At 45.9% G+C, this 25,594-nt stretch overlaps 2 protein-coding genes across 66 annotated transcripts in view, besides 6 other annotated features; one reads left to right on the forward strand and one right to left on the reverse strand.

Moving 5' to 3' along the window:
* Nucleotides 1-270: an enhancer, noted in NCBI's record as "active region_6368". NCBI's record gives its function as "activates an Ori minimal core promoter by ATAC-STARR-seq in GM12878 lymphoblastoid cells {active_cell/tissue: GM12878}" and the evidence as "EXISTENCE:reporter gene assay evidence [ECO:0000049][PMID:35858748]".
* Nucleotides 1-630: a biological region, named in NCBI's record as "H3K27ac hESC enhancer GRCh37_chr12:51441816-51442354".
* Nucleotides 92-630: an enhancer, noted in NCBI's record as "H3K27ac hESC enhancer chr12:51441816-51442354 (GRCh37/hg19 assembly coordinates)". NCBI's record gives its function as "activates a minimal SCP1, AML or CMV promoter by ChIP-STARR-seq in primed H9 embryonic stem cells {active_cell/tissue: H9 hESC(primed)}" and the evidence as "EXISTENCE:reporter gene assay evidence [ECO:0000049][PMID:30033119]".
* LETMD1 (LETM1 domain containing 1) lies at nt 279-21,017 on the forward strand. 52 transcript variants are annotated; one of them, NM_001351315.2, is made up of 9 exons: nt 386-537; nt 1,072-1,244; nt 4,151-4,266; nt 5,837-5,919; nt 7,894-8,080; nt 8,203-8,304; nt 8,409-8,561; nt 10,091-10,187; nt 11,420-12,483. In NM_001351315.2, the coding sequence occupies exons 1-9, from the start codon at nt 416-418 to the stop codon at nt 11,488-11,490; spliced, it is 1,104 nt and encodes a 367-aa protein (NP_001338244.1). In that variant the 5' UTR covers nt 386-415; the 3' UTR covers nt 11,491-12,483.
* Nucleotides 381-430: an enhancer, noted in NCBI's record as "active region_6369". NCBI's record gives its function as "activates an Ori minimal core promoter by ATAC-STARR-seq in GM12878 lymphoblastoid cells {active_cell/tissue: GM12878}" and the evidence as "EXISTENCE:reporter gene assay evidence [ECO:0000049][PMID:35858748]".
* Nucleotides 631-1,169: an enhancer, noted in NCBI's record as "H3K27ac hESC enhancer chr12:51442355-51442893 (GRCh37/hg19 assembly coordinates)". NCBI's record gives its function as "activates a minimal SCP1, AML or CMV promoter by ChIP-STARR-seq in naive H9 embryonic stem cells {active_cell/tissue: H9 hESC(naive)}" and the evidence as "EXISTENCE:reporter gene assay evidence [ECO:0000049][PMID:30033119]".
* CSRNP2 (cysteine and serine rich nuclear protein 2) overlaps nt 13,264-25,594 on the reverse strand; it is a 22,392-nt gene continuing 10,061 nt past the window's right edge. For all 14 annotated transcript variants that reach the window (NR_045072.2, NM_030809.3, XM_024449216.2 and 11 more), the window contains 2 exons: nt 19,732-20,028; nt 13,264-16,728 (listed from right to left, as the gene is read on the reverse strand). Coding sequence is in view for 13 of the 14 variants with exons in the window: in NM_030809.3 (NP_110436.1) it covers nt 15,805-16,728; nt 19,732-20,028 (1,221 nt within the window). In the remaining variant the exon portion in view is untranslated. The remainder of the gene's footprint in view (nt 16,729-19,731; nt 20,029-25,594) is intronic.
* Nucleotides 21,490-21,990: an enhancer, noted in NCBI's record as "H3K27ac hESC enhancer chr12:51463214-51463714 (GRCh37/hg19 assembly coordinates)". NCBI's record gives its function as "activates a minimal SCP1, AML or CMV promoter by ChIP-STARR-seq in naive H9 embryonic stem cells {active_cell/tissue: H9 hESC(naive)}" and the evidence as "EXISTENCE:reporter gene assay evidence [ECO:0000049][PMID:30033119]".

A 25,594-nucleotide genomic window follows, 5' to 3' on the forward strand; every position in this document is an offset into this window, starting at 1 on the left:
CAAACTGACATCTGCTACCTAACAGTCGAGGCTCCGACGCCCCGAGTCCAGGCAGAGGGCAAGGGCGGCGCTGGGAAGCCCTGAGGCCCTAAGGAATCGCGGAGGGTCACTGGGCGCCTCAAGGACAGGGTGCCCTCCGCGTCGCAAACCCACACCAGTGGCATAAGAACTCGCTCCCTCTGGGACACCCTGTTTCCGGCGCCTTTAAACCTGGAAGTACTGCTGTGTCCAATCCTGGCCCTCCTTCCGCACTTAGTCTTTGAGTCCTTCCCTCTCCTGGCTTGTGCTGGAGCCAAGCAGGCTATGGCTACCAATCAGCGCTCAGAAAAGACGCATGCGTCTTCGAACGAACGCGACGTACGGTTAACTTTGACCCAAAGACAACCTCTTCTCTCCCGCTTCTCTCGCTGTGAAGATGGCGCTCTCCAGGGTGTGCTGGGCTCGGTCGGCTGTGTGGGGCTCGGCAGTCACCCCTGGACATTTTGTCACCCGGAGGCTGCAACTTGGTCGCTCTGGCCTGGCTTGGGGGGCCCCTCGGTGAGGGACCTGTAGCGAGAAAAGCATTTTTGACGTCCAGGCTCTTTCAGTGTCTCAACCTTGCTTGCATTCTGTCTCTTAATTCTCAGAGTTCCACGCCTTGGCCCTGGAATTTTTATTCTTCTGTTCAGGATTCAAACTCCGATCCCCACTAGTGACCCGGCTTCCTGACCCTCTGTACTCTCAGTGCCCCATATTGTCTGGTTTCCCCGCGTGTCCTGAGCTCATCTTTCAGCCTCACTTTTTCGGCTCAGGTTTTACCGCTGCTATCTCGATTCCACCTCTTTCTGACTTAGCCTGCAGTTCAAATTGTCCCACAGGCATTGCGCTCTCTCCAGAGGCATACCCTGAGTTACTTTCCTGCCTGGCCTTTGCCTGATTTGTGTTTCACAGTCTGATTGCCTATCTCTTCTTGACCCCAAGACCTTCCTTGGATTTCAGAAGTGTCAAGCCTTGGGATACAATCTCCGAGACTCCTGCTTTACATTAGGGACTCAAGGCGTGAGGGAGCTTCTAGGACTGATTCCCAGATAGTCTCTTTGATCTTCCTTGTAGGTCTTCAAAGCTTCACCTTTCTCCAAAGGCAGATGTGAAGAACTTGATGTCTTATGTGGTAACCAAGACAAAAGCGATTAATGGGAAATACCATCGTTTCTTGGGTCGTCATTTCCCCCGCTTCTATGTCCTGTACACAATCTTCATGAAAGGTAAAAACGAAACTACAATAGAAATTCCGGAATCAGCTCTTGGGCAGGGTCAAAGAGTTAGCATAAATAAGATCATTTGCAGGTTCTGCTATGGGGATGTGAGCCGAGATATCTTATATTTCATAAATGCCTGCGCCTTAAACTAATTCCTATAAATTAGCACTTCTTGAGAATGTTTCTAGAAAGATGTTATGAGAAACAACTTATGACAGCAACATGAGGGAGGGAGAATATAGGTATGTTCTCGTACTTTCTTAACCACACACCTGGCTATAGTAGAAATTTTTTGCCTTGCACACGGCAGGGATCTGTGGCTGTATAGACCTGCCCTGTGATGTATCAGTTGACTTACCCATAGGAAAATGAGGTCTAACCCTTGTTATGAATCTATATTAGGTAGTATGTTGTAGTGGCAATAGCCCTACATAATACTTGGTTTCTAAATGTTTTGTTTCAAATCAGAGATCCTTAGTTACTAGGAGAAGATATGTATCGTGTCAAGTGTCTACTCTGGAGCCAGATTGCCTGATTCAAATCCCAGTTCGTCACTGTGCGATTGGACTAATTAATTAACCCCTCTTTCCTTGGTTTTCTTATGTGTAAAATGGGAGTAATGGAACCTACCTATTTATCACATGATTGTGAAGACTTTAAAAATTGATACATGTAAAGTACCTAGAACAGGTCCTGATCCCTAGTAAGTGCCAAGTAAATGTTAACTTATTTTCATCTAAATGTTACCTAACAGTATTATAAGTTGGTGCAAAAGTAATTGCGGCTTTTGGCTTTCAGTGGCAAAAACCACAATTGCTTTTGCACCAAATCTATAATATGCTCTATGCTTTTATCATAACACTATAATAAACTACATTGTCAAATCTGAACATTATCATAATTATTACTAGCTTCATGGACTTGAAAAATTACTTATCCTTAATTTGTAGAGATAAAATTGGCTGCTTTTTCTGTTTTCATGTAGATAAATAGGATCAAATGAGAGAAAGGGATGAAAGCATTTGTGTTTGTTTTTAAACTTTTTATTATGAATTTTTTTTTTTTTTGAGTCTCACCGTGTCGCCCAGGCTGGAGTGCAATGGCATGATCTCGGTTCACTGCAACCTCTGCTTCCCGGATTCAAGCAATTCTCCTGCCTTAGCCTCCCAAGTAGCTGGGAATACAGGCGCCTGCCACCACACCAGGCTAATTTTTTTATTTTTAGTAGAGGTGGGGTTTCACCATATTGGCCAGGCTGGTCTCTAACTCCTGACCTCGTGATCCGCCTGCCTCGGCTTCCCAAAGTGCTGGGATTACAGGCTTGAGCCACCGCGCCCGGCCAACTATTATGGAAATTTTTAAACACACACAGATGTAGAGAGAGTAGTGTAACAAACTTCCATGTATTAACCTCACTTCATTATCATAACTCATGGCTGCCAATCCTATTTATATACTTGCCTTATGTATTATTTTGAAGACAATCGAGACATCATATAATGACATGTAAATCATTGATAAATATGAAAGCATTAAAGAAATAGATGCAAGAAGCCGGGCGCGGTGGCTCATGCCTGTAACCCCAGCACTTTGGGAGGCCGGGGCGGGCGGATCATCTGAGGTCGGGCGTTTGAGACCAGCCTGACCAACATAGAGAAGCACCGTCTCTACTAAAAATACAAAATCAGCCAGGTATAGTGGCACATGCCTGTAATCCCAGCTACTAGGGAGGCTGAGGCAGGAGAATCTCTTGAACCTGGGAGACGGAGGTTGTGGTGAGCCAAGATCGCACCATTGCACTCCAGCCTGGGCAACAACAGTGAAACTCCCATCTCAAAAAAAAAAAGAAAAGAAAAAAATTAGATGCAAGAATTTTCATAAAATGAAAATTTAAAATGTAATCATAAAAATATATTGAACTAAACTACTTTAAAAAGTGTTCCAGGCTGGGCACGGTGGCTCACGCCTGTAATCCTAGCACTTTGGGAGGCCAAGGCGGGCGGATCATGAGGTCAGGAGTTTGAGACCAGCCTGGCCAACATGGTGAAACCCAGTCTCTATTAAAAATACAAAAATTAGCCAGGTGTGGTGATGGGCACCTATAATCCCAGCTACTCGGAAGGCTGAGGCAGGAGAATTGCTTGAACTCAGGAGGTGGACGTTGCAGTGAGCCGAGATTGCGCCACTGCACTCCAGCCTGGGCGACAGAGCAAAACTCCATCTCAAAAACAAAAATAAGTGTTCCAGGCCGGGCGCAGTGACTCATGCCTGTAATCCCAGCACTTTGGGAGGCCGAGGCAGGTGGATTGCTTGAGGTCAGGAGTTAAAGACGAGCCTGTCCACATGGTGAAACCCCATCTCTACTAAAAATGCAAAAATTAGCCAGGCATGGTGGCACACGCCTGTAATCCTAGCTACTTGGGATTCTGAGGTGGGAGAATTATATAAACCTGGGAGGTGGAGGTTGCAGTCAGCCGAAATCGCACCACTGCACTCCAGCCTGGGCAACAAAGTGAGATTCCATCTCAAAAAAAAGAAAAAAAAAGTTCCAGAAAGGAGATTAAATTAATATCTGGCTGGGGAATACATAGGGTTAATTTAGCAAGACTTTCTGAAGTTAGGGAGCTTGATTTTTAAAAAGGAGTGACCAGTGAAACAGAAGAGGGAGACCATTCCATAGCAGATTACAGAAGCCAAATGTAGCTAGAAGAGAGGCGATGTGCTAGGGGAAAAAATGTTGAGAAAAGAGATTCGAGTTGACCTCAGGAGTTTCAAGTTACCTAGTTTAAAGCTTTGAGTATCGTTGGGGAGGGGTGAGAGTGTTTGCATGTGATTGAACATGGAGTAGGAAGCTGTGGTTAAGATTTAAACTGGGATAACATCACACTCTGTCCTCTACTTTAATGAGGCAGGATTGCAGATGTTATGGGCTGATGCCAAAAAGGCTAGAAGAATAAAGACAAATATGTGGAAGCACAATATAAAGTTTCATCAACTTCCATACCGGGAGATGGAGCATTTGAGACAGGTATGGGCCAGGGGCAGATATCCAGAAGTTCATGGTGAGGTAATTACATTTAATCAAGATCTCAAGGTTTTTTCTTTCATTTGTTGTTCACCATTGATCAAGCTTTTGCCCTTTGCCGTGAGAACAAAATATTGAACTGAATGAGGCATCAGATTATTTGTAAGAATTGGGTTCATCCAGAGTTGTAGCCCTCCATAGCAAGAGCTCCATAGAATTTCTGGCACACTTTCTGAATGAAAGTTGTAAATACTAAAATCTAATTAGTTTCTGAACATAACAAAAGTCTGCAAGGGGGCTGGGCGCGGTGGCTCACGCCTGTAATCCCAGCACTTTGGGAAGCCGAGGCAGGCAGATCACGAAGTCAGGAATTCGAGACCAGCCTGGCCCACAAGGTCAAACCCCATCTCTACTGAAAATACAAAAATTAGCTGAGTGTGGTGGCGGGCGCCTGTAATCCCAGCTACTCGGGAGGCTGAGGCAGGAGAATCGTTTGAACCCGGGAGGCAGAGGTTGCAGTGAGCCAAAATCATGCCATTGCACTCCAGCCTGGGTGACAGGGCAAGACTCCATCTCAAAAAAAAATAATAATAAAATGAAAATAGAAGTCTGCAAGGGCAGCCAGGCACAGTGGCTCTCGCCTATAATCTCAGCATTTTGGGAGACTGAGGTGGGCGGATCACCTGAGGTCAGGAGCTTGAGACCAGCCTGGCCAACATGGTGAAACCCCATCTCTACTAAAAATTCAAAAATTAGCTGGGCATGATGGCAGGCGCCTGTAGTCCTAGTCCCAGCTACTCGGGAGGCTGAGGCAGGAGAATTGCTTGAACCTGGGAGGCGGAGGTTGCAGTGAGTGAAGATCGCGCCACTGCACTCCAGCCTGGGTGATAAGAGCAAAACTCTGTCTCAAAAAAAAAAAAGTCTGCAAGGATCCAAAGGGCAGCATGAAAGTAGTATTTGGTGGTGACTTGATGGGTCGTTTTGAAGCTGAGAGTAAGAATCTAGGACCCATTCCGCAGATCAGGAAGAGTTCACTGAAGGATTTGGTATAATGTCAGGCTCTGTACTAGACATTATTTGGGATACAAAAGTAAATAAGTCAGAGGTTTTGTCCTCAAGGAACTAACCATCCAGAAGTAAATAGAAATAAACTTGGGGACCACATGCAGTGCTCATGCCTGTAATCCTAGCACTTTGGGAAGCCAAGGCGGGCAGATCACTGGAGGTCAGGAGATTGATACCAGCTTGTCCAACATGGTGAAACCCTGTCTCGACTAAAAATACAAAAGTTAGCCTAGAGTGGCGGCTTATGCCAATAATCCCAGCTACTCGGGTGGCTGAGGCAGGAGGATCACTTGAACCCAGGAGGCAGAGGTTGCAGTGAGCTAGGATTGCACCACTGCACTCCAGCCTAGGTGACAGAGCAAGACTCCATCTCAAAAAGAAAAAGAAAGAAATTTGGTCCTTTTTCTGGGCTGTAATAGAAGTTTACTGTACAGTGGGGTGGATGGATTGTCTATTGTATTAACAACTTATTTGGGTTAAAACTGCATCTGTGTTTATTTCTGCTTAGTTCCGCCAAGACGTCACCAAGTGTCTTTTCCTAGGTATTATTTCCATTCCACCTTTTGCCAACTACCTGGTCTTCTTGCTAATGTGAGTACAGACTTCCATCTCCCCAACATCTTGAAGATGTATCAATTTTTTTAAATTAAGAATTACTTTAAACAGCACTCATTTCAGAAGATAGGCAGAGGTTATCAAACTTCTGCTCCAATCTTCTCATTATTCCAAGGTTCATAAAAACCACTTAGGAAGACCTTGGTTACTGTGACACATCACAGCTATAAGTGTAGGTGGCCTAGACTCTCCCTATCTCTTAGCTGCCCTGAGTCATGTGAAATAAGATAGTGACCTTCTCCATCATCCCTAGAGGCTCTCTCCCCGAGAGAGAGTACTTTTAGACTAATTTCTTTAGGAAAAGTACATTTCGTATTCTGATAACATTTTTATTACTTCATATCCAAAAATGACATTTCTTAACTGTGATCTTGCATGTCATTCATTATCTATTGCTGTATAACAAATAACTTCAAAGCTTAATAGCATAAAACAATCGTATAAATCATTTTCATGATTTTGTAGCTCAAGAATTAGGGCAGTGCTCAGGTGGGCAGTTGATTTCTCTCTTCCATATAGGGTTGACAGAGGTCCCTTAGTGATATTTAGCTGCTGAATGGACTAGTCTGGAAAGTCCAATATCACTCTTATGTCTGGTGCCCTGGCAGGGATGGCTACACGGCTAGAACTGTCAACCAGAGTGCCCAGATGTGGCTTCTTCAGTATGGCAGCCTCAAGATAGTGGGACTTCTAACTTGGGAGCTCAGGGCTCCAAGAGTGAGGGGTTCTAGTAAGAATCTACATGACTTTATAACCTTGTCTTGAAGGTCACATAGAGTCACTGCTGCTCTGTCCTATTGATTGAATCAGTCACCTAGAATGAAAAAAGGGCAGGATGTAGACCTCAGCTCTCCATGAGACAAGTGCCAGAGAATTTGAGGTCATGTTTTAAAACCACCAAACACGTAGATAAATAAATTAAAAAACAAATCGTGGCCAGGTGCAGTGGCTCACGCCTGTAATCCCAGCACTTTGGGAGGCCGAGGCGGGCAGATCACAAGGTCAGGAGATTGAGACCATCCTGGCTAACACAGTGAAACCCTGTCTCTACTAAAAATACAAAATACTAGCTAGGCGTGGTGGCGGGTGCCTGTAATCCCAGCTACTTGGGAGGCTGAGGCAGTAGAATCGCATGAACCCAGGAGGCAGAGGTTGCAGTGAGCCGAGATCGCGCCACTGCAGTCCAGCTTGGGTGACAGAGCGAGACTCTGTCTCAAAAAAAAAACAACAAATCAGTTGCCTTTTACATACTGGGTCCACATAAGGACTGTGCTATAGTTAGATTGTCAACATCACATATAGTGTCCTGGTCAGGCTGCAACTCTCTCCAAAGCATGCTCTTCACATGCTTTAGTTCAAAATGAGTCATTATATCTGATTGCTGCGTGGCAGGCTATTCTGCTAGTCCTTCCTTTCACATCCCATTTCAGTAATGGTGCTTGAAATTGTGCTTCAGTGTGTCTTATAAACTTTGGTCTGAGAGTCACTTAAGAGAAAGGGCTGACTGTAGTGGCTCTCACCAGTAATCCCAGCACTTGGGGAGACTGAAGCAGGAAGATTGCTTGAGACCAGGAGTTTGAGACCACCCTGGGCAATATAGCAAGACCCGTCTCTGCAAAAAAATTAAAAACTTAGCCAGGCATAGTGGCCTGTGCCTGTAGTCCCAGCTACTCAGTAGGCTGTGGTGGGAGGATTGCTTGAGCCTAGGAGGTCGAGGCTGCAGTGAGCTGTGATCTTGCCACTGTACTCCAGCCTGGGTGAGAGAGGGGACCCTGTCTCTTAAAAAAAAAAAAAAAAAAAAAAAAACTGAAAAAGAAAAAGAACACTGAGGTAGGGAAATAGTGTCTCCATCTCTTCTTCCTAGTATTCATGTCTACCAAATGCTTTCTTTGGCTTCCTCTGAAAGAAGCCAGTTTCAGCAAGTGAGTTTGTGATTCTTTCTCCTTTCAGGTACCTGTTTCCCAGGCAACTACTGATCAGGCATTTCTGGACCCCAAAACAACAAACTGATTTCTTAGATATCTATCATGCTTTCCGGAAGCAGTCCCACCCAGAAATTATTAGTTATTTAGAAAAGGTCATCCCTCTCATTTCTGATGCAGGACTCCGGTGGCGTCTGACAGATCTGTGCACCAAGGTATTCCTGCAGTTAACCCTTCCTACAAATGTGGAATCTTGTTAGATTCAGTGTGCACTAAACTAGGTAAGAGGAGTAGTCAGGACTTTCCTAACATCTACAAATCTCTTACCTCTTCCAAGATACAGCGTGGTACCCACCCAGCAATACATGATATCTTGGCTCTGAGAGAGTGTTTCTCTAACCATCCTCTGGGCATGAACCAACTCCAGGCTTTGCACGTGGTGAGCACTTTGAGGGCTTCTCTTTTCCATAGCATCACCATGTTTCAGGTGTTTGCTTGAGCTCATACTATTTGCCTTTCCCCTCCTATGTGGTTGTGTTACAGAAAGCCTTGAGCCGGGCCATGCTTCTCACATCTTACCTGCCTCCTCCCTTGTTGAGACATCGTTTGAAGACTCATACAACTGTGATTCACCAACTGGACAAGGCTTTGGCAAAGCTGGGGATTGGCCAGCTGACTGCTCAGGAAGTAAAATCGGTAAGAGCTTGATTGCAACATCAACCCTCAACCCTTGGTGTGCTTTTGAGCCTATGGCAGGCCGGAGGTTTACAGGGGCTCCTTGTCTTGTTTGTTTATAGAACCCAGCTTCTTTATTCTCTCACTTCATTTATTTATTTATGATTTATTTTTATTTATTTATTTATTTTGAGACAGAGTCTCATTCTGTTGCCCAGGCTAGAGTACAGTGGCACAGTCTTGGCTCACTGCAACCTCTGCCTCCCGGTTCAAGTGATCCTCCTACCTCAGCCTCCCAAGTAGCTGGATTACAGGTGTGCACCACCACGCCCAGCTAATTTTTTGTATTTTTAGTAGAGATGGTTTCACCATGTTTGCCAGGCTGATCTCAAACCCCTGGCCTCAAGAGATCCATCAACCCAAAGTGCCGAGACTACAGGTGTGAGCTACCGCACCCAGCATATTTATTTATTTTTCAGTCTCACTATTTTAACCAAGCTGGTCTTGAACTCCTGGCCTCAAGCAATCCTCCCATCTTGGCCTCCTAAAGTGCTGGGAATACAGCCGTGAACCACTGTGCCCGGCCTTTTTAAAAATTATTTTTTAATTAGCCAGGAGTGGTGGCACATGCCTGTAATCCCAGGTACTTGGGAGGCTGAGACATGAGAATTGCTTGAACCCAGGAGGTGGATTGCAGTGAGCCAAGATCGCACCACTGCACTCCAGCCTGGGTGATAGAGTGAGACTCTGTCTCAAAAAAAACCCAAAAAATAAAATAAAATTATTTTTTATTTTTGTAGAGACAGGGTCTCACTATGTTGCCCAGGCTGGTCTTGAACTCCTGGGCTCAAGTGATCCTCCCGCCTTGGCCTTTCAAAGTGTTGGGATTACAGGCATGAGCCACTGCGCCCAGCTCCTCACCTCATTTCTGTGTCTTTTTTCTCAAGAAACTTAGCTAGGGGGAAGGAATTGCCCACAGAAATTTTGGTTTGTATTTCTTTTCTTCTGGCACTTCAGAAAGCAAGGATACTGCAGTTTAGACCTACTATTTTAGCTTATATAGGACTCTTTGCTTTTGTCATCTTGTCCATCACTAGTTTTCAAATTGCCATGAGGAAAGGCTTCATGTGGGAATGAGATTGTAACTTTTTTTTTTTTTTTTGAGACAGAGTCTCGCTCTGTTGCCCAGGCTGGAGTGCAGTGGCATGATCTTGGCTCACTGCAACCTCCGCCTCCCAGGTTCCAGTGATTCTCCTGCCTCAGCCTCCCGAGTAGCTGGGACTGCAGGTGCATGCCACCACGCCTGGCTAATTTTTGTATTTTTTAGTAGAGATGGTGTTTCACCATATTGGCCAGGCTGGTCTCCAACTCCTGACCTCGTGATCCGCCTACCTCGGCCTCCCAAAGTGCTGGGATTACAGGCACGAGCCACCGTGCCCGGTGAGATTGTAACTTATTTAAAGGAGATTTAGGATTGTTTGTGGATTTCCATTTCCTTGGCATAATCATTCTATGATTATTAAGGACCATTTCTGTTCTGAGTGGTATAGGCTTGTTATCTCCGTGGCCTGAATTCTACGCATATTGGTGAAGATAGGTGTCGAACTTGGCTGGGAGAATGGCTGCAGATTTCCTGCAGCCTGAAAGGTAAAACACATTTCTGTGGTTATACCACTAAAATCCAAGTCACTTTTGTATTTTATTCTGAGGTCATTTTGGAGTTAATTATTGAGTACTGTGAGACATATATATACATACATCTAATTGAAAGGGCACAAACTCACATGCCTACTGCATGCCCGGCAGGTAACGAAGTAGGCCATAAGACAAGAGGGAGTAGTGGGGACTGTGGAAACCTAAGAGTGAATGCATGCTAGTGTGAATTTTCCAACCTTGGCACTTCCTTATGGGGGGAATATCCTGTGCTTTATTTATTTATTTATTTATTTATTTTGAGACGGGGTTTCGCTCTTGTTGCCCAGGCTGGAGTGCAATGGTGCGATCTCGGCTCACCGTAACCTCTGCCTCCTGGGTTCAAGTGATTCTCCTGTCTCAGCCTCCCAAGTAGCTGGGATTACAGGCATGCACCACCACGCCCAGCTAATTTCGTATTTTTTTTTAGTAGAGACCAGGTTTCTCCATGTTGGTCAGGCTGATCTCGAACTCCCGACCTCAGGTGATCCGCTGGCCTCGGCCTCCCAAAGTTTTGGGATCACTGGCGTGAGCCACCATGTCCAGCCTATCCTGTTCTTTATAGGTATTTATTATAGCAGTATCCCTAGCCTCTACCCACTAGATGCCAGTAGCACCCCTTCACCCACAGTTGTCTCAACCAAAAATGTCTCTAGACATTGCCAAATGTCCTAGGGGTGGGGAGGAGAGAGGCAGGATTGTCCCCGTTGAGAAGTACTGGTCTAAAGGCATTCAAACTCAGAAAAAAAACAGTCTGCTGACCAAACACAAAGCATCTGAGGGTATGTATTAGGCTTGTTTGCCCCCTGTTTAGGCTAGGTCTTGATGTTTTGTGGGCCTTTGGATGTTAGGGTAGGCCTACTAATCTTGAAGCTGAGAAATGTCCCTAGAGCACCAACTTCTACCAGAAGAATCCCAACGCGACTGGTGTTTAGTACCATTACCATCTCTGAATTTTCTACTGCAATCACATGAGAAATAGAGGATGAGTTGATACGAATATATAGTAGAAGGAAAGGAAGGCATGCATACAGGGGCTGAAACAAAGAAGGGGAACTTTGAGAAAAACAGCTTCTTCATTCCACCCCTCCCTGCACTTGGCTTCCTGCCTCCAGGCTTAAGCCATATATAACAAGGCAGTTATAAGGCAGTGTTCCCAAGCCAAACCACTAACACTGTGTTTTCAGAAGCTGAGCTGTCTCTCTTGCTGCACAACGTGGTCCTGCTCTCCACCAACTACCTTGGGACAAGGCGCTGAATGAACCATGGAGCGGATGGCATTGTCCTGCAGTCGTATAGTATAGCAGTGCAGGAACAAACAGCACTTGCCAGCAAAGTCTGTGTGTACTGTTAAGTGTGTGGGAGGCAGAGAGAGGAGCAGGGGCCATGGGCTTCACAGCATGGCACACATGTGGGAACTGCAGACATTCCTCTCACAGCTAGAACTGAAACAAACCCTCTTGCTAGGGGTGGTCCGTGTGAGGTGTCATCCTGTCCCCCTCATAATTACTAATAGCTGGAACTGGCAGCAGCCTCTACTGGGCTTTTACTGTGATGTGTTCAGTTCATGTCCTAGGAAGTCAGCTTTTGCCCCAGGTGGGAATCCTTATTTGGCTTAGGACTGATCCACTTCCATGTTACTTACATCTGTGGGTTTTTGTTGTTGCTGTTAGAAAATTTGTGGCTGGTGAAAACAGCACTCCTTTGGCTGGAGCACATGTGTCCGTGCATGTACTTGGGTGTTTCCCTCCATCCTTTCTGATATGACCAAAAATCAAGTTGTTTTGTTTTTTGTCACCTTCACTGGCATGGGCTAACCACTTCTTTTTCAAACCCTCTGAACACCTTTTTCTGATGGGTAACTTGCAGGAATATTCTATTGGAAAAGATAACAGGAAGTACAAGTGCTTCTTGACCCCTTCCTCAATGTTTCTAGCCTTCACTCTCCATTGTCTTTTCTGGGCTGTATTACAGCCCTCTGTGGATCTTCAACTCTGCTGCCTCCACTGTGATGCAGCAGTCCAACTGTAACTGACAGTGGCTGCCTTCTCTGGGCCATGGATCACACCTGTAAGGTACTAATTACTGCCCAGCCTGGGGAGATCAGGAGAGGTCTGCATAGTTAGTAAGTTGGGTTTAGCTTTTGTGTGTGCATCAGTGACTTAGAGTTCTGTAATAACTTATTGTAAATGCATGAAGCACTGTTTTTAAACCCAAGTAAAGACTGCTTGAAACCTGTTGATGGAAATGACTTATGCATACTCTAATCATTTTGCTGTCTCCTTTTACAAGACTGACATAATCTAACAAATGGGGATTTAATTGGTTGGCATAGAACCTTCTGATGGGATGGAAGTTTTGCAGAAACTGATTTGAAGTTGATCTCCTTGCTGGACACTTTAAGGTGATAACAAGGAAAAGAGAATTTCATAAAGTTAATGGAATGAGGCCGGGCGCGGCGGCTCACGCCTGTAATCCCAGCACTTTGGGAGGCTGAGGCGAGCGGATCACAAGGTCAGGAGATCAAGACCATCCTGGCTAACACGGTGAAACCCCGTCTCAACTAAAATAGCAAAAAATTAGCCAGGCGTGGTGGTGGGCGCCTGTAGTCCCAGCTACTCAGGAGGCTGAGGCAGGAGAATGGCGTGAACCCGGGAGGCGGAGCTTGCAGTGAGCCGAGATTACGACACTGCACTCCAGTCTGGGCGACAGAATGAGATTCTGTCTCAAAAAAAAAAAAAAAAAAAAAGTTAATGGAATGAGAAAATGGGAGCCCAGAGTAGGGACAGGGCTAAGCTCCAACAGAGCAGGAGCAAGGCCTGCTTCAGCTGAACAGGTACACAAGGGCATATGAACCAAGTCCAGCTCTTGGTACTCCAAAGAGAATATTCTATTTTTCCATCACAAAATGTTTCTATTGTTAACATTAATTCCTAACTGACCTAATTAGTTTTATAACGAAGCTAGAGAAGCATCCTTTTTCTAACAAGTAACTGAACTGTGGCCTGCCGAGACAAAGAGTAACACATCATTCTTTTGAATATTTCTTTAATATTACATTTAAATATTCTCTTTAAATACAGCATTATCACAATGTAAAGAACCTAAAGGGGAAAAAATTATTTTCAGAGAACCAGACAAGCTTTGGATTCACATTGAAAATACTACCTGTGTACAGTATGTGAGAAAGGAAATTGGAAAATAATAAGGGTTGTGGTAATAAGAGTCATTTATCTAGGCCTAGACTGGGACTGAAGCTATCTGCTTCTATGATCAGAGGCCTAGCTTTCCTAGCAACCATGAGCTAGAATTCTGTCCAACTCAGGTAGCACCAGAAGTGAGATGGACTAGGTTGTAGAGAAGGCCTTTCGCTTGACAAGACAGTTAATGCTAAATGTTAATATTTAGCACTTAAAAGTTTGGGATCAGTGTGAGTCACAACTGTAGCGTTAATGAAGGGGATGGACTTAAATTAAGAAACTACAGGTTTTCAGAAACATATCTTGTGGGTTGGCAATGAGCTTAATAATTACAGATTCATATTCCTGGTTTGATCCCAAAAGCTAATGTGTTCCTCATCGTGCAGCTGGAATCTACTTCCTAGATTAAGCCGGAGCCTTCCTGCAGAGACAGTGGGCAAACCTCACCCTCCCCTTCCGACACAAACTTTGAAAAAGATTCTTTTCTCCATAAAGCCAAATTCCCAATTAAGCTTCAGTCCTGTGTTTGAGGGTACCAGTCTAAGGTAGGGGAGTCTAGTTCAGTTCTGGGTAGCTTCGAGAGCTCAGGTACTTAAAAGACTCTCAACTGTGTTTTGTGAGGCTAGGGGATGGGGAGAGATAAGGATCTGTGTACTTAAGTTCCCCTCCAAACTAAAACCAAGCAAAAACTGGAACAAATAGGAAAGGCAGAATGAACTAAAAAATGTTATGTGTATTAAATACAAATCTTTTCAGGCTCAGAGTTTAGAGACTTCAGGGGTGAAATGCTGCTGCGACATACGTGATGGTTTCTGTAAGACACCAGGGCCTTAATATCCCACCAGAAAAGGCTTTATGAGCAAGATAAGTAGGAGTAGTGTCTCCCCCCCAACACAGTTTTTCACTTTTGTGTGTGTGTGTGGTTAATAAACCATACCAGAAGTAAAGTATGGTGTAAAGGATGCTTGAGAAGAATAGTTTTGCTCCCTACTGCCTCCATTTTAGAACAGAGACAAAGATCACTTTGCTAATGAAAGGAAATCAGTGCTGTTCAATGGAGATCTTAGAACACAGGATGAACAGGAACTGTATTCCTCCTGACAGAGGTAAGAACTGAATCAAACTGAATGAGTTCCATTCTATACGCTTCAAAGGTTATAATTAGAACTTGAATCCTTTGGAATCTGGGAGTTGCATGTAGCATTTAAGAACTGGTTTGGCTTCCAATTTTTATATATCATCAAGATGGAGGGGTCCAATAAACATTTGCAATTCTTGGAATTGAACTGGAACAGTATAAGAACTCTAACCCGCTATGTTGAAAACGACCATGAGGGTAGATCCAGGAAAAAAGAACAAAAACTGATTGGTGACCTTAAGATTGCCACATTCTACATTCCACTAAAGCTCAGATCTCACAAAGAGGGAAAAACCTGGGTGAAAAAACAAGCATGGCACAAATATGTCATCTTTCCAGATAGCAAGCAGCCTGTTCCCGCTGCCTCCTTTGGCCACAGTTAATGCTCCACATAGGCCTCCTATGGGATGGGTGAGCCCCAGCCGAAAGCTGCCTGACAGTGCTAGTGTCAGACACGTACAGAAGGCTCAGGCTCGTTATACCATATCCCCAGCCAATCCAGCTCTTTCTCCGAAGGAAAAAGGATGGAGAGAAAAAAGACACATAGACAAGTTTAACTCTAGTACTTAAGAACATGTGGAAGAAACAATTCAAGTTACAGACCAGGAATCCCCAGTGTGGGGAACAGGTCAGAGAACACCAAACATGTCAAATATTAACTTATTTACCAAATATGGGATTGAAGGAAGGCAGGTTACATTTTTGTAAATCCTGGAGATTTTGTACAGAAGCAGAGACCCTTCCACTCCCTCCTCCCTAGACTCGACCAGGTGACTTTCCAGTTTGAAGTATTATGACACACCAAAATGGGATATCAGAATAACCACCGAGAAAAATGAGCTTGTACTCTGCCTGGGGCTTGGGAGAGAAAGGGCTTTGCCATGCTCTTCAAATTCTCGTGTTCTGGTCCCTACAGAAAGAATAGCTGCTTGAGTTACCCAGCTTTTCCTGTGAGATCCTAGTTCTTTGTTCCAGTGGCCCAGAAAGCTTAATGTTCAGCACTACGCAGCTTTCTTTGCCCCAAGACTATCCCCAGATCAAGGTAGGGCTGGTCTCCTTGGTACTGTTTCCCTTTTAAAAAATACTCAAACAATCCTTTCCCACCCATTCCCCAAAGACCCCAATAAAATAACATGGGAGCAGCAGCTGCTTCTACAGTTTTGTTTTGAAATGGTGTTAGATAAAATAAGGGAATAAATAGAGAATGGGTAAGAGGCAGGACCTCTAGCGCCTGTCACACTGCCAGAGGGAGTTCTAAGGAAGAATCTTCAGGGGGCCGATCCTCATTCTGCTGGGAGGTCTTCACCATCCCACAGCCCTCTTCATTGTCCGTGCGGAAGGGGAGGCTTGAGGGGGACCAGGAAGGGTGGAAGTCTTCATTTTCAGGCTCCTCAGGGTTACAATCTTCGGGCAATAGAGCTTCTAGGGTGGGTGTTTTCCCCACCTCTGATTTACAGAGGGCAGCTGGGTCTGTGGAGCTACAAGCCACGAGTGAGGTAACAGGGAGAGAGAAGACATTCAGATCCTTCTCCTTTGGGAAAGAGGCTGAGCCTTCTTCCGTACCAGGCTCTCCTTTCACTCCCAAGACTGGCCTCTGCTCCACTTGATAATAGACCAGGGGCCCACTGTTCAAGTAGGATGGGCTGTTCACCGTTGAGGCAGTTGGGTGGTCTGAGTTCTCGGTAAAACACAGGACAGAGGAGCCTGGGGGCAGCTGAGCCTGGATGAGAATGGGGGCTGTAAGGCCTGGGCACAGCTCTTCGGGGACAGCCAGAGGCTCCTCTAGGATGCACACACCCAGGCTCTCGATGCTCGAGTCCAGGCTGGCACTAGAGCCGCTGGAATCTTCTTCTGCCTTGAGCCGCTCCAGTTCCTCTGCACTCTGCAGGTGCATCACTGCTGTCTCATTCTCAGCAATGAACTCCTGGAAGTCCTGGGTCTCAGAGCCCTGTGCTCCTGTCAGGCTGCAACTGGCAGTCGGGGAGGGCTCCTCATCTGGGGCTGCTGGGCGGCTCACCTGCCGCTTGCTCTCCAGCTCCAGCTTCATAATGGTGTGGAGGTAATGAGTCCGGACCCGGATTGGATTAAATTCAATGCGTCCTGCCATGTTCCCACAGCCATCCCGGGAGCAGCCACATGGAAAGGACATGCGATCCACCTGAGCGGGGACAAGAAGGTTGGGGCAAGATGAGACCTACAATCCTAACAATGGAGACAGGAGACATGAGCTGGCAAACAGGCAGTTGGGATTTGAGGTCTCCTTGTAAGAAGAAAAGCAACCAATTCAAAGCATAGCATGCAGTGTGAGCTAACAGAACACTAGATGGTAGTTATCAGACCACTTGCATTTCAATCCCAGCTCAGCCATTAATTAGTGGTGTGACCTCAAGAGAATCATTTATCTCTCTAGGGCTTTGTTTCCTCTTCTAAATAACAAGTAGACAAAATCACAGCACAGGGTCCTTCCAGTTAAGAGTCCAGAGATACTTCTCTGAATGCTGATAGTTTTCACAGAGGAAATTTACGAGCCTCAGAGACTTTTTCAGAACTTACCTGGTTCACTGAGACAACAAAAGGCTGGAACCAAGCCTATGGCCTGCAATGACAGGCATGGGAGAGTGAGTGGAAGATCTTGCTACTTCAAAAAAAATACATTCTGGGGAAACTAAGCAAATGTGCCTTAGTTTGCTAAGGTGCTAGAACGCAGGTTCACACAGTGGCCAATTTTTTAGCTACCTGCTTTATTTTCCCTGAGGGTTGACTAGTTTAGTTCTGAAGCAGTTACCAAGATAATTAACTTACAGACCAGGAATATCTGGAAAGGAGATGCTTTCTACCTCCTTATCACTTTCATATTCCAACAGGAAAAACACATAAACCAAAAATAAAAGGAAAAATTAAAACCACAAGTAAGCAAATAAGCATGTACAAATCACAATGTCTTTCTATGATACTGACTTATAGAAATCTCCACTCCAGTTATACCATTTTTTTTTCCTTTGGAGATAGGGTCTTGCTCTGTCGTCCAGGCTGGAGTGCAGTGGTGCCATCATGGCTCACTGCAGCCTGGAGCCATGCTGGGATTACAGGTGTGAGCCACCGCGCCCGGCCCTAATTTTAAAATTTTTTGTAGAGATGGGGTCTCGCTATGTTGCCCAGGCTGGCCTCAAACTCCTGGGCTCAAGCAGTCCTTCCACCCCAGCCTCCCAAAGTGCTAGTTACAGGTGTGAGCCAACATGCCAGGCCCAGCTGCATCAATTCTTAGGACTGTTCTCAGGTGTGTGTGTAACAGAATGACTCATTATGGGACTTTGGTCTGAAAAGCAGTATTTGGCCAGATATACCACAGTTATTTGTTACCCAGCTAAAAATAAAGAAAGAGTGAGTTAGGAGAAATCCAACCACAAGGACTCAGCATCTACACCCTCAATAATTAAGTTCCAGATAAATTTCATTCTTAGGGATGGTATTGCTGTTTTCAACTGAAATGTGTCTTAAACTGTCCCCCATCAGAGGGCCAACAAGGGGCCAGGCACGGTGGCTCATGCCTGTAATCCCAGTACTTCGGGAGGCTGAGGCAGGCAGATCACCTGAGGTCAGGCGTTTGAGACCTGCCCGGCCAACATGATGAAACCCTGTCTCTACTAAAAATACAAAAGCTGGCCAGGTGCGGTGGCTCACGCCTGTAATCCCAGCACTTTGGGAGGCTGAGGCAGGCGGATCACGAGGTCAAGAGATCGAGACCATCCTGGCCTACATGGTGAAACGCCGTCTCTACTAAAAATACAAAAATTAGCTGGGTGTGGTGGTGTGTGCCTATAGTCCCAGCTACTCGGGAGGCTGAGGCAGGAGAATTGCTTGAACCCGGGAGGCAGAGGTTGCAGCGAGCCGAGATCACGCGCTACGGCACTCCAGCCTGGCAACAGAGCAAGACTCCGTCTCAAAAAAAAAAAAAAAAAAGAATTACAACAATACAACAATTAGCCGGGCATAGTGGTGCACACCTGTAATCCCAGCTACTTGGGAGGCTGAGGCGGGAGAATCACTTGAACCCAGGAGGTGGAGGTAGCAGTGAGCCAAGATCGCGCCACTGCACTCCAGCCTGGGCGACAGAACGAGACTCCGTCTCAAAAAAAAAAAAGGGCAGCCAACAAGAGATGATACTTTCTCTTTCAGATAACTATGGTTTTAAGCTCTGCTAGGCCAGGTCTGATCCTGAATTATAAAGCTCTGAATACTATTTTGATTTTTTCAAAATTGGAGTAGAGGTACTGAACAATAAGTGTTTGCAGATAGAATCTACAGGCCCACACCATTCCTCTGCTAACTTTTTGAGACAGGGTCTTGCTCTGTCGCCCGGGCTGGAGTGCAGTGGCACAATCATAGCTTACTGCAACCTATGCCTCCCAGGCTCAAGTGATCCTCCTCCCATCTCAGCCTCTTGAGTACCTGGGACTACAGGCCCATGCTACCATGTCCAGCTAATTTTTGTATTTTTTGTAAAGATGGGGCTTAGCCATGTTGCCCAGGCTGGTCTCGAACTCCTGGGAAGCAATCTGCCTGCCTGCCTCGGCCTCCCAAAGTGCTGGGATTACAGATGTGAGCCACCATGCCCAGTCCTGCTTCCTTTTATCTCAAGGAATCAGTATTTAGGAAACAGTATTTAGGAAATACTGTTTAGGAATCAGTATTTAGGAAACATTTACTAAATGTTAAATGTACTAACTCCTCTTCATCCCTTTCCTAACAGCTGCTTCTTATCACCTCTGAGAAATGAAACAAAAAAAGATGAGATACCTCCACAGCCTAAGAATCCTGTCATGCTTGTTTTCTTTGCAAAAATTTTAAGAGACAGGGTCTCACTCTGTGACCCAGGCTGGCGTGCACTGGTGTGAACTCAGCTCACTGCAGCCTTGACCTCCTGGACTCAAGAGATCCTCCTACCTCAGCCTCCCACATAGCTAGGATTAGAGGTGTGAGCCACCATGCCTGGCCGTGTGCTGTTTGCTTACTCTGTTGACGGAGGAGGGTTGTGGAACTGGAGAGTGTTCACAACCATAGGGAATCCACCCCTGAATGGGCCTCCCATGTTCAGTGGCACCCACACCTCACCCCGCTGACCCTGGTGTAGATATACTATCTCAGGCCAACTTGGACTGACCTGGCATTTAATCCCAGCCTGGCTGCAGGCACACGCTTCTGGGTCACAATACAGTCGGCAGTCACAACCACATTCTTCCCGTGACAGGCGGATGGCTCGAAGTTCTTGCTTCTCTTCAGCATCAATACGGTGGACCCCAGAAGCCCTCAGCAGGGCCCGTCGCCGTTTGGTGGGCAGAGGCTGCAGGAAGAAGTAATCATCCACCTCCACATTTTCCACATCAATATCTTCATCTGACACATCATCCAGCGTCAGGCCATCAGCCTCCACCGACTCCACTGTCCCATTCTTGGTCAGCTGCCAAGAGACAGGAAAGGTTAGCCTCATAGACATGAGCGGCATGCACCTCCTCAGTGACCATCCCAGAGCAGCACTGTCCCTTGAACCTTCTGCAATCATGGGAATATCTGTGCTGTCCAAAATGATGGCAGCTACTAGCACATGTGGCTACTGAGCACTAGAAATGCAGCAATTGGAAAACTGTCATTTTATTTATTTTTTTGAGACAAAAGTCTCATTCTGTCGTCCAGGCGGGAGTGCAGTGGTGCAGTCTTGGCTCACTACAACCTCCGCCTCCCGGGTTCAAGCGATTCTCCTGCCTCCCAAGTAGTTGGGATTACAGGCGTGAGTCACCAGCCTGGCTAATTTTTTCTATTTTCAGTAAAGACAGGGTTTCACTGTGTTGGCCAGGCTAGTCTTGAACTGCTGGCCTCAAGTGATCCACACACCTCGGCCTCCCAAAGTGCTGGGGTCCACTGTGCCAGCCCAATTTACATAATTTTAATTGAATAGCCGTATGTGACTACTGGCTGCTATATTCACTAGCACAAGTCAAAAGAATAAATCCAGAGTGGGAAGATGGGAAATCTTACGTACCATCACCTTTCTGGGTCCAAGCTTCTCAAAAACCCGTCTCATCTTCCCTCCTACACGAAAATCTATTTCCACAAACATACCGTCTATTTCCAGACATGTATCCCCTAATTTACACTCACTTGCCTTCTAACACAGAGAGGAAAAGGTATGTGAATGACTGGATGATCCTTGGATATACAGAAAAATGTGAAACACCCTTCAACTTGCACCCACTGAATGCAAAACTACCTTCTTGAAAAAAAAAGGGCAAATTAAAGTGTAGTAAAAGGCTACCAGGTCTTAATCAATGAACCCAAATCCCCACAGTGTGAACAATTATCTGTGCATGCACTAAAGAGCTTCATTCTACTGTAAGGAGAAAAAGCAAATATATTAACAGGTATTAAAGAAAGCCCTTGGCCGAGAAAAAATGTATTTCTTCTCCTTTCTTTTTTCATTTTTTTTTGAGACGGAGTCTCGCTCTGTCGCCCAGGCTGGAGTGCAGTGGCGTGATCTCAGCTCGCTGCAAGCTCCACCTCCTGGGTTCACGCCATTCTCCTGCCTCAGTCTCCCGAGTAGCTGGGACTACAGGCACCTGCCACCACGCCCGGCTAACTTTTTGTATTTTTAGTAGACATGGGGTTTCACCGTGTTAGCCAGGATGGTCTCAATCTCCTGACCTTGTAATCTGCCCACCTCGGCCTCCCAAAGTGATGGGATTACAGGCATGAGCCACCGTGCCCGGCTTCCTTCTCCTTTCTTTTTTTTTTTTTTTTTTTTGAGACAGGGTCTCACTGTCGCTCAGGATGGAATGCAGTGCATGATCTCGGCTCACTGCAATCTCTGCCTCCTGGGTTCAAGTGATTCTCCTGCCTCAGCCTTCCAAGTAGCTGGAATTACAGGCTCCTGCCACCATGCTCAGCTAATTTTTGTATTTTTAGTAGAGACAGGGTTTCACAATGTTGCCCAGGCTGGTCTCGAACTCCCGACCTCAACTGATACACCCAACTCCACCTCCCTAAGTGCTATAATTACAGGCCTGAGCCACTGCACCAGGCCTAATCCTTTTTTATTTGACTTCAAAGAAAAGCTGTATGTGAGGAAAGGTGGTATCAATAATACTGAGCGTACTATGTACAGGCAGAAATCTGGGTTTTTTTTTTTCTTTTTTTTCTTTTTTTTTGAGACTGAGTCTCACTCTGTCACCCAGGCTGGAGTGCAGTGCTGCAATCTCGGCTCACTGCAAGCTCCGCCTCCTGGGTTCACGCCATTCTCCTGCCTTAGCCTCCCGAGTAGTTGGGACTACAGGCGCCTGCCACCACGCCTCGCTAATTTTTTGTATTTTTGTATTTTTAGTAGAGACGGGGTTTCACTGTGTTAGCCAGGATGGTCTTGATCTCCTGTCCTCATGATCCGCCCGCCTCAGCCTCCCAAAGTGCTGGGATTACAGGCGTGAGCCACCGAGAAATCTGGGTTTTCTGGGCTGAGATGGATAGAGAGCCAAGAAAGGGAGTCTTGGTGGAAGGACAGATTGAAGACAAGCCGTGGCTGAAAGAGTTCTGAAAACTCACTAGAGAACTCAAGAAAATGAGGCCTCATAATCCCTGGGGCTCTGGAAGCTGCTAGCAGGATGAAAGCCACGTGACTGGAGCCTTTGGTTGATTTCATCAGACAACCAGAGTAGAGCTGCTAAAGGAACAACTCCTGGGAGAGATGTGATGCAATGGGCTTGGGTAATCAGCTACACACCTGGTTTTCTTGTTTGTGGGGGAGGTGGTAGAGAAATGAAGAGAAGTAAAGTGGGGCTTCTGGAGGTTTCCTAGTCAGTGATTTCGGTACTAGGCAGGCCAACTACAAAGGGCCTTTCTGTTTATCTCAGGATTGCTCCTGTCTACATCTCCAGGGTTGACCTCCCCCTAAGCATACCCCCTCCTGCTGTCCTCTCATAGGCAAGGGATTAGAGATGTAACACGAGGACACTCATATAGATGTGAGAATTTAAATATCGAGATAGAAGTGGCATTTCAAATCAGTGAGAAAAGAGTCTTCTAGTTATTAAATCGTATTGGAACAAGTGGATATTTTCTGGGGGAAAAAAGATTCCCAATGTATACTATTCATGATAATGAGTTCCATATGGATAACAGGCCAAAATACAAAAAATGAAATAAAAATATTAGAAAAATTATAGTTAACTAAAGTTGCGGAACACCAAGCAGCTGCTGGAACAACCCCAAAGGAAGACAAACATTAGATGGTACATGAGAGATGCAGAATGTACATTTTTTGAAACCAACTGCCTCCCTTATAGAGAGCTAAAAAACAGGCCTGGTGCAGTGGCGCATGACTGTTATCCCAGCACCTCTGAGAGACTAAGGTGGAAGAATCGCTTAAGACCAGGAGTTCGAGACCAGCTTGGGCAACAGAACAAGACCCCATCTCTACAAAAACTGGCCGGACATGGTGGCTCACTCCTGTAATCCCAGCACTTTGGGAGGCCGAGGCGGGTGGATCACTTGAGGCCAGGACTTCGAGACTAGCCTGGCCAACGTGGCAAAACTTCGTCTCTACTAAAAATAAAAAAATTAGCCCAGCATGGTGGTACATGCCTATAATCTCAGTTGAGGGAGGCTGAGGCACAAGAATCGCTTGAACCTGGGAGGCGGAGGTTGCAGTTAACCGAGATTGCGCCACTGCACTCCAGCCTGGGCAACGGAGTGAGACCCTGCATCAAAAAAAAAAAAAAAAACCTACAAAAATTAACCAAGCATGGTGGTGGGTGCAGCTGCAGTCCCAGCTATTTGGGAGGCTAAGGCAGGAGGATCGCTTGAGGATTGCCTCTGTGCTCCAGCCTGGATGACAGAGTGAGACCCTGTTTCAAGAGAAAAAAAAAATCTAAGCAAAGAATAAACTAGGTAAGGTAAAGCAAGGGATTCCTCTTGACATATAAAGATAAGCCTGGTGCAGTGGCCCACACCTGTAGTCCCAACTACTTGGGAGGCTGAGGTGGGAGGATCACTTGAGCCCAGGAGTTTGAGACTAGCCTGGGCAACAAAATGAGACCCCATCTTTAAAAAAACAAAGTGCTGTATTAGATGTCATCACTGCTGGTGCTCACTAAACATCCTGCTAACAAGTAGAGCTCCTGTATCTGTCTTGGGTTTGCCTGGCTTCGTCCCTAGAATTCCTGTAAGTGGAGAACACAGAACAGGATGGTATACTGTTTTGACAGATCATTCCTCTGCCAGATTTAGGAGAGTGGAGTTTTCTTCTAGGGAAAGGAAGGAATGCCTTCACTGCAATTGATGAGAACAGTGTTTATTTGCCCAGCTGTTGCTACGGCAGCTGGAAGGTGACAGGGTCAGTGATGGAATTCCTCAGACAGAGGAAAGGGAAGCCTGAATGTCATTCTAGAGTGAGAAAAACAGGTGTAGGGCTTTAGGAATAGTCTGAGGGAAGTAGACATACAGCTCTCAGAGAAAGAAAGGAATGAGATGCTCTGGTTAGCCTACATCCTCTGCCACCAGTCTCCAACTCCACCACATTCTAACGTGTCTCTCTCATGACTCTGGAAATAATGGAGCTACCTGTTTTAATATGGGTCAGCATGCTTTGGGCTTCAAAGAAACCTGGCCAGGCTTAAACTGGTGTTCTTCAAATTTGGAATCAGGATCTCTGGGAGAAATTTTTGAGAGGTAGTAGCAACTATGGCTGTGGGAATACCAAACAGTACTAAGATGAAAAATGGGTGGCCAAGTGCGGTGGCTCACGCCTATAATCCCAGCACTTTGTGAGGCTGAGGTGGGCAGATCACGAGGTCAGGAGACCGAACCCATCCTGGCTAACATGGTGAAACCCCGTCTCTATTAAAAATACAAAAAAAAAAATAGCCGGGTGTGGTGTTGGGCACCTGTAGTCCCAGCTATTCAGGAGGCTGAGGCAGGAGAATGGTGTGAACCCGGGAGGTGGAGCTTGCAGTGAGCCGAGATCGCACCACTGCACTCCAGCCTGGGCAACAGAGCTAGGCTCCGTCTCAAAAAAAAAAAAAAAAAAAAAAAAAAAAAAGAGTGGCTATGAAGAGCCATGTAAGGTGGGTCTTTTCCCAGCCTCTCTCTCTCGAAGAAGAGGTGGTGCTGTATCAGGTGGCAGGCACAGTATTATACAAATCTAAATAACTATTTGATAATGCTGTTTGTATCTACAAGATTATCACGTAAGGGTGATGGGGATTATAGAAACAGCAGGATCCTTTCAGAGACTGTGAAATATCCAAAACCTGTTCTGTGCATCCGGCCAAGGGACAATTATTTGACCAGAAATTGAAAATTGTGCTTCCTTGAGTTCCAGGGTGACAGACCTGAACGCCTTCACGTATTCATATTTTAAACTTAAAAATAAATTGGGGGCGGGGGTGTTGGGCATGGTGGCTCATGCCTGTAATCCCAGCACTTTGGGAGGTCAAGAGGGAAGGACCACTTGAGCCCAGGAATTGAGACCAACCTGGGCAACGTTGCAAGATCCCACTACTATTAAAAAAAATACTAGCCAGGCATGGTGGCATGAGCCTGTGGTTCCCAGATACTTGGGAGGCTGAGATTGGCAGATGGCTTGAGGCCAGGAGTTCAAGGCTGCAATGAGCTGTGATTGAGCCACTGCACTCCAGCCTGGGTGACAGAGAGAGACCCTGTCTCAAAAGAAAACATACATACATACATACATACATACATAAAATTGAGGGAGGCAGTGGGGGTTTGGGAGGGGGAAATTCTAGGGAAGCCATTTTGCTATATCTGGTAGACTCCCCTGCCAGATGCAAAGACGGGAGTCTTGGACTGAGATTTGATTTCAAATCTGAGATTTTTCATTAGAAAGAGTTGAAATCTCTATACCCCAAGGACAACAGTCAAATAAAAAAAAAAATCAGCTGGGTGCAGTGGCTCACACCTGTAGTCTCAGCACTTTGGGAGGCCGAGGCAGGTAGATCACTTGAGACCAGGAGTTCGAGACC

This window comes from Homo sapiens, chromosome 12 (assembly GCF_000001405.40).
Source record: "Homo sapiens chromosome 12, GRCh38.p14 Primary Assembly".
Lineage (NCBI taxonomy): Eukaryota > Metazoa > Chordata > Mammalia > Primates > Hominidae > Homo > Homo sapiens.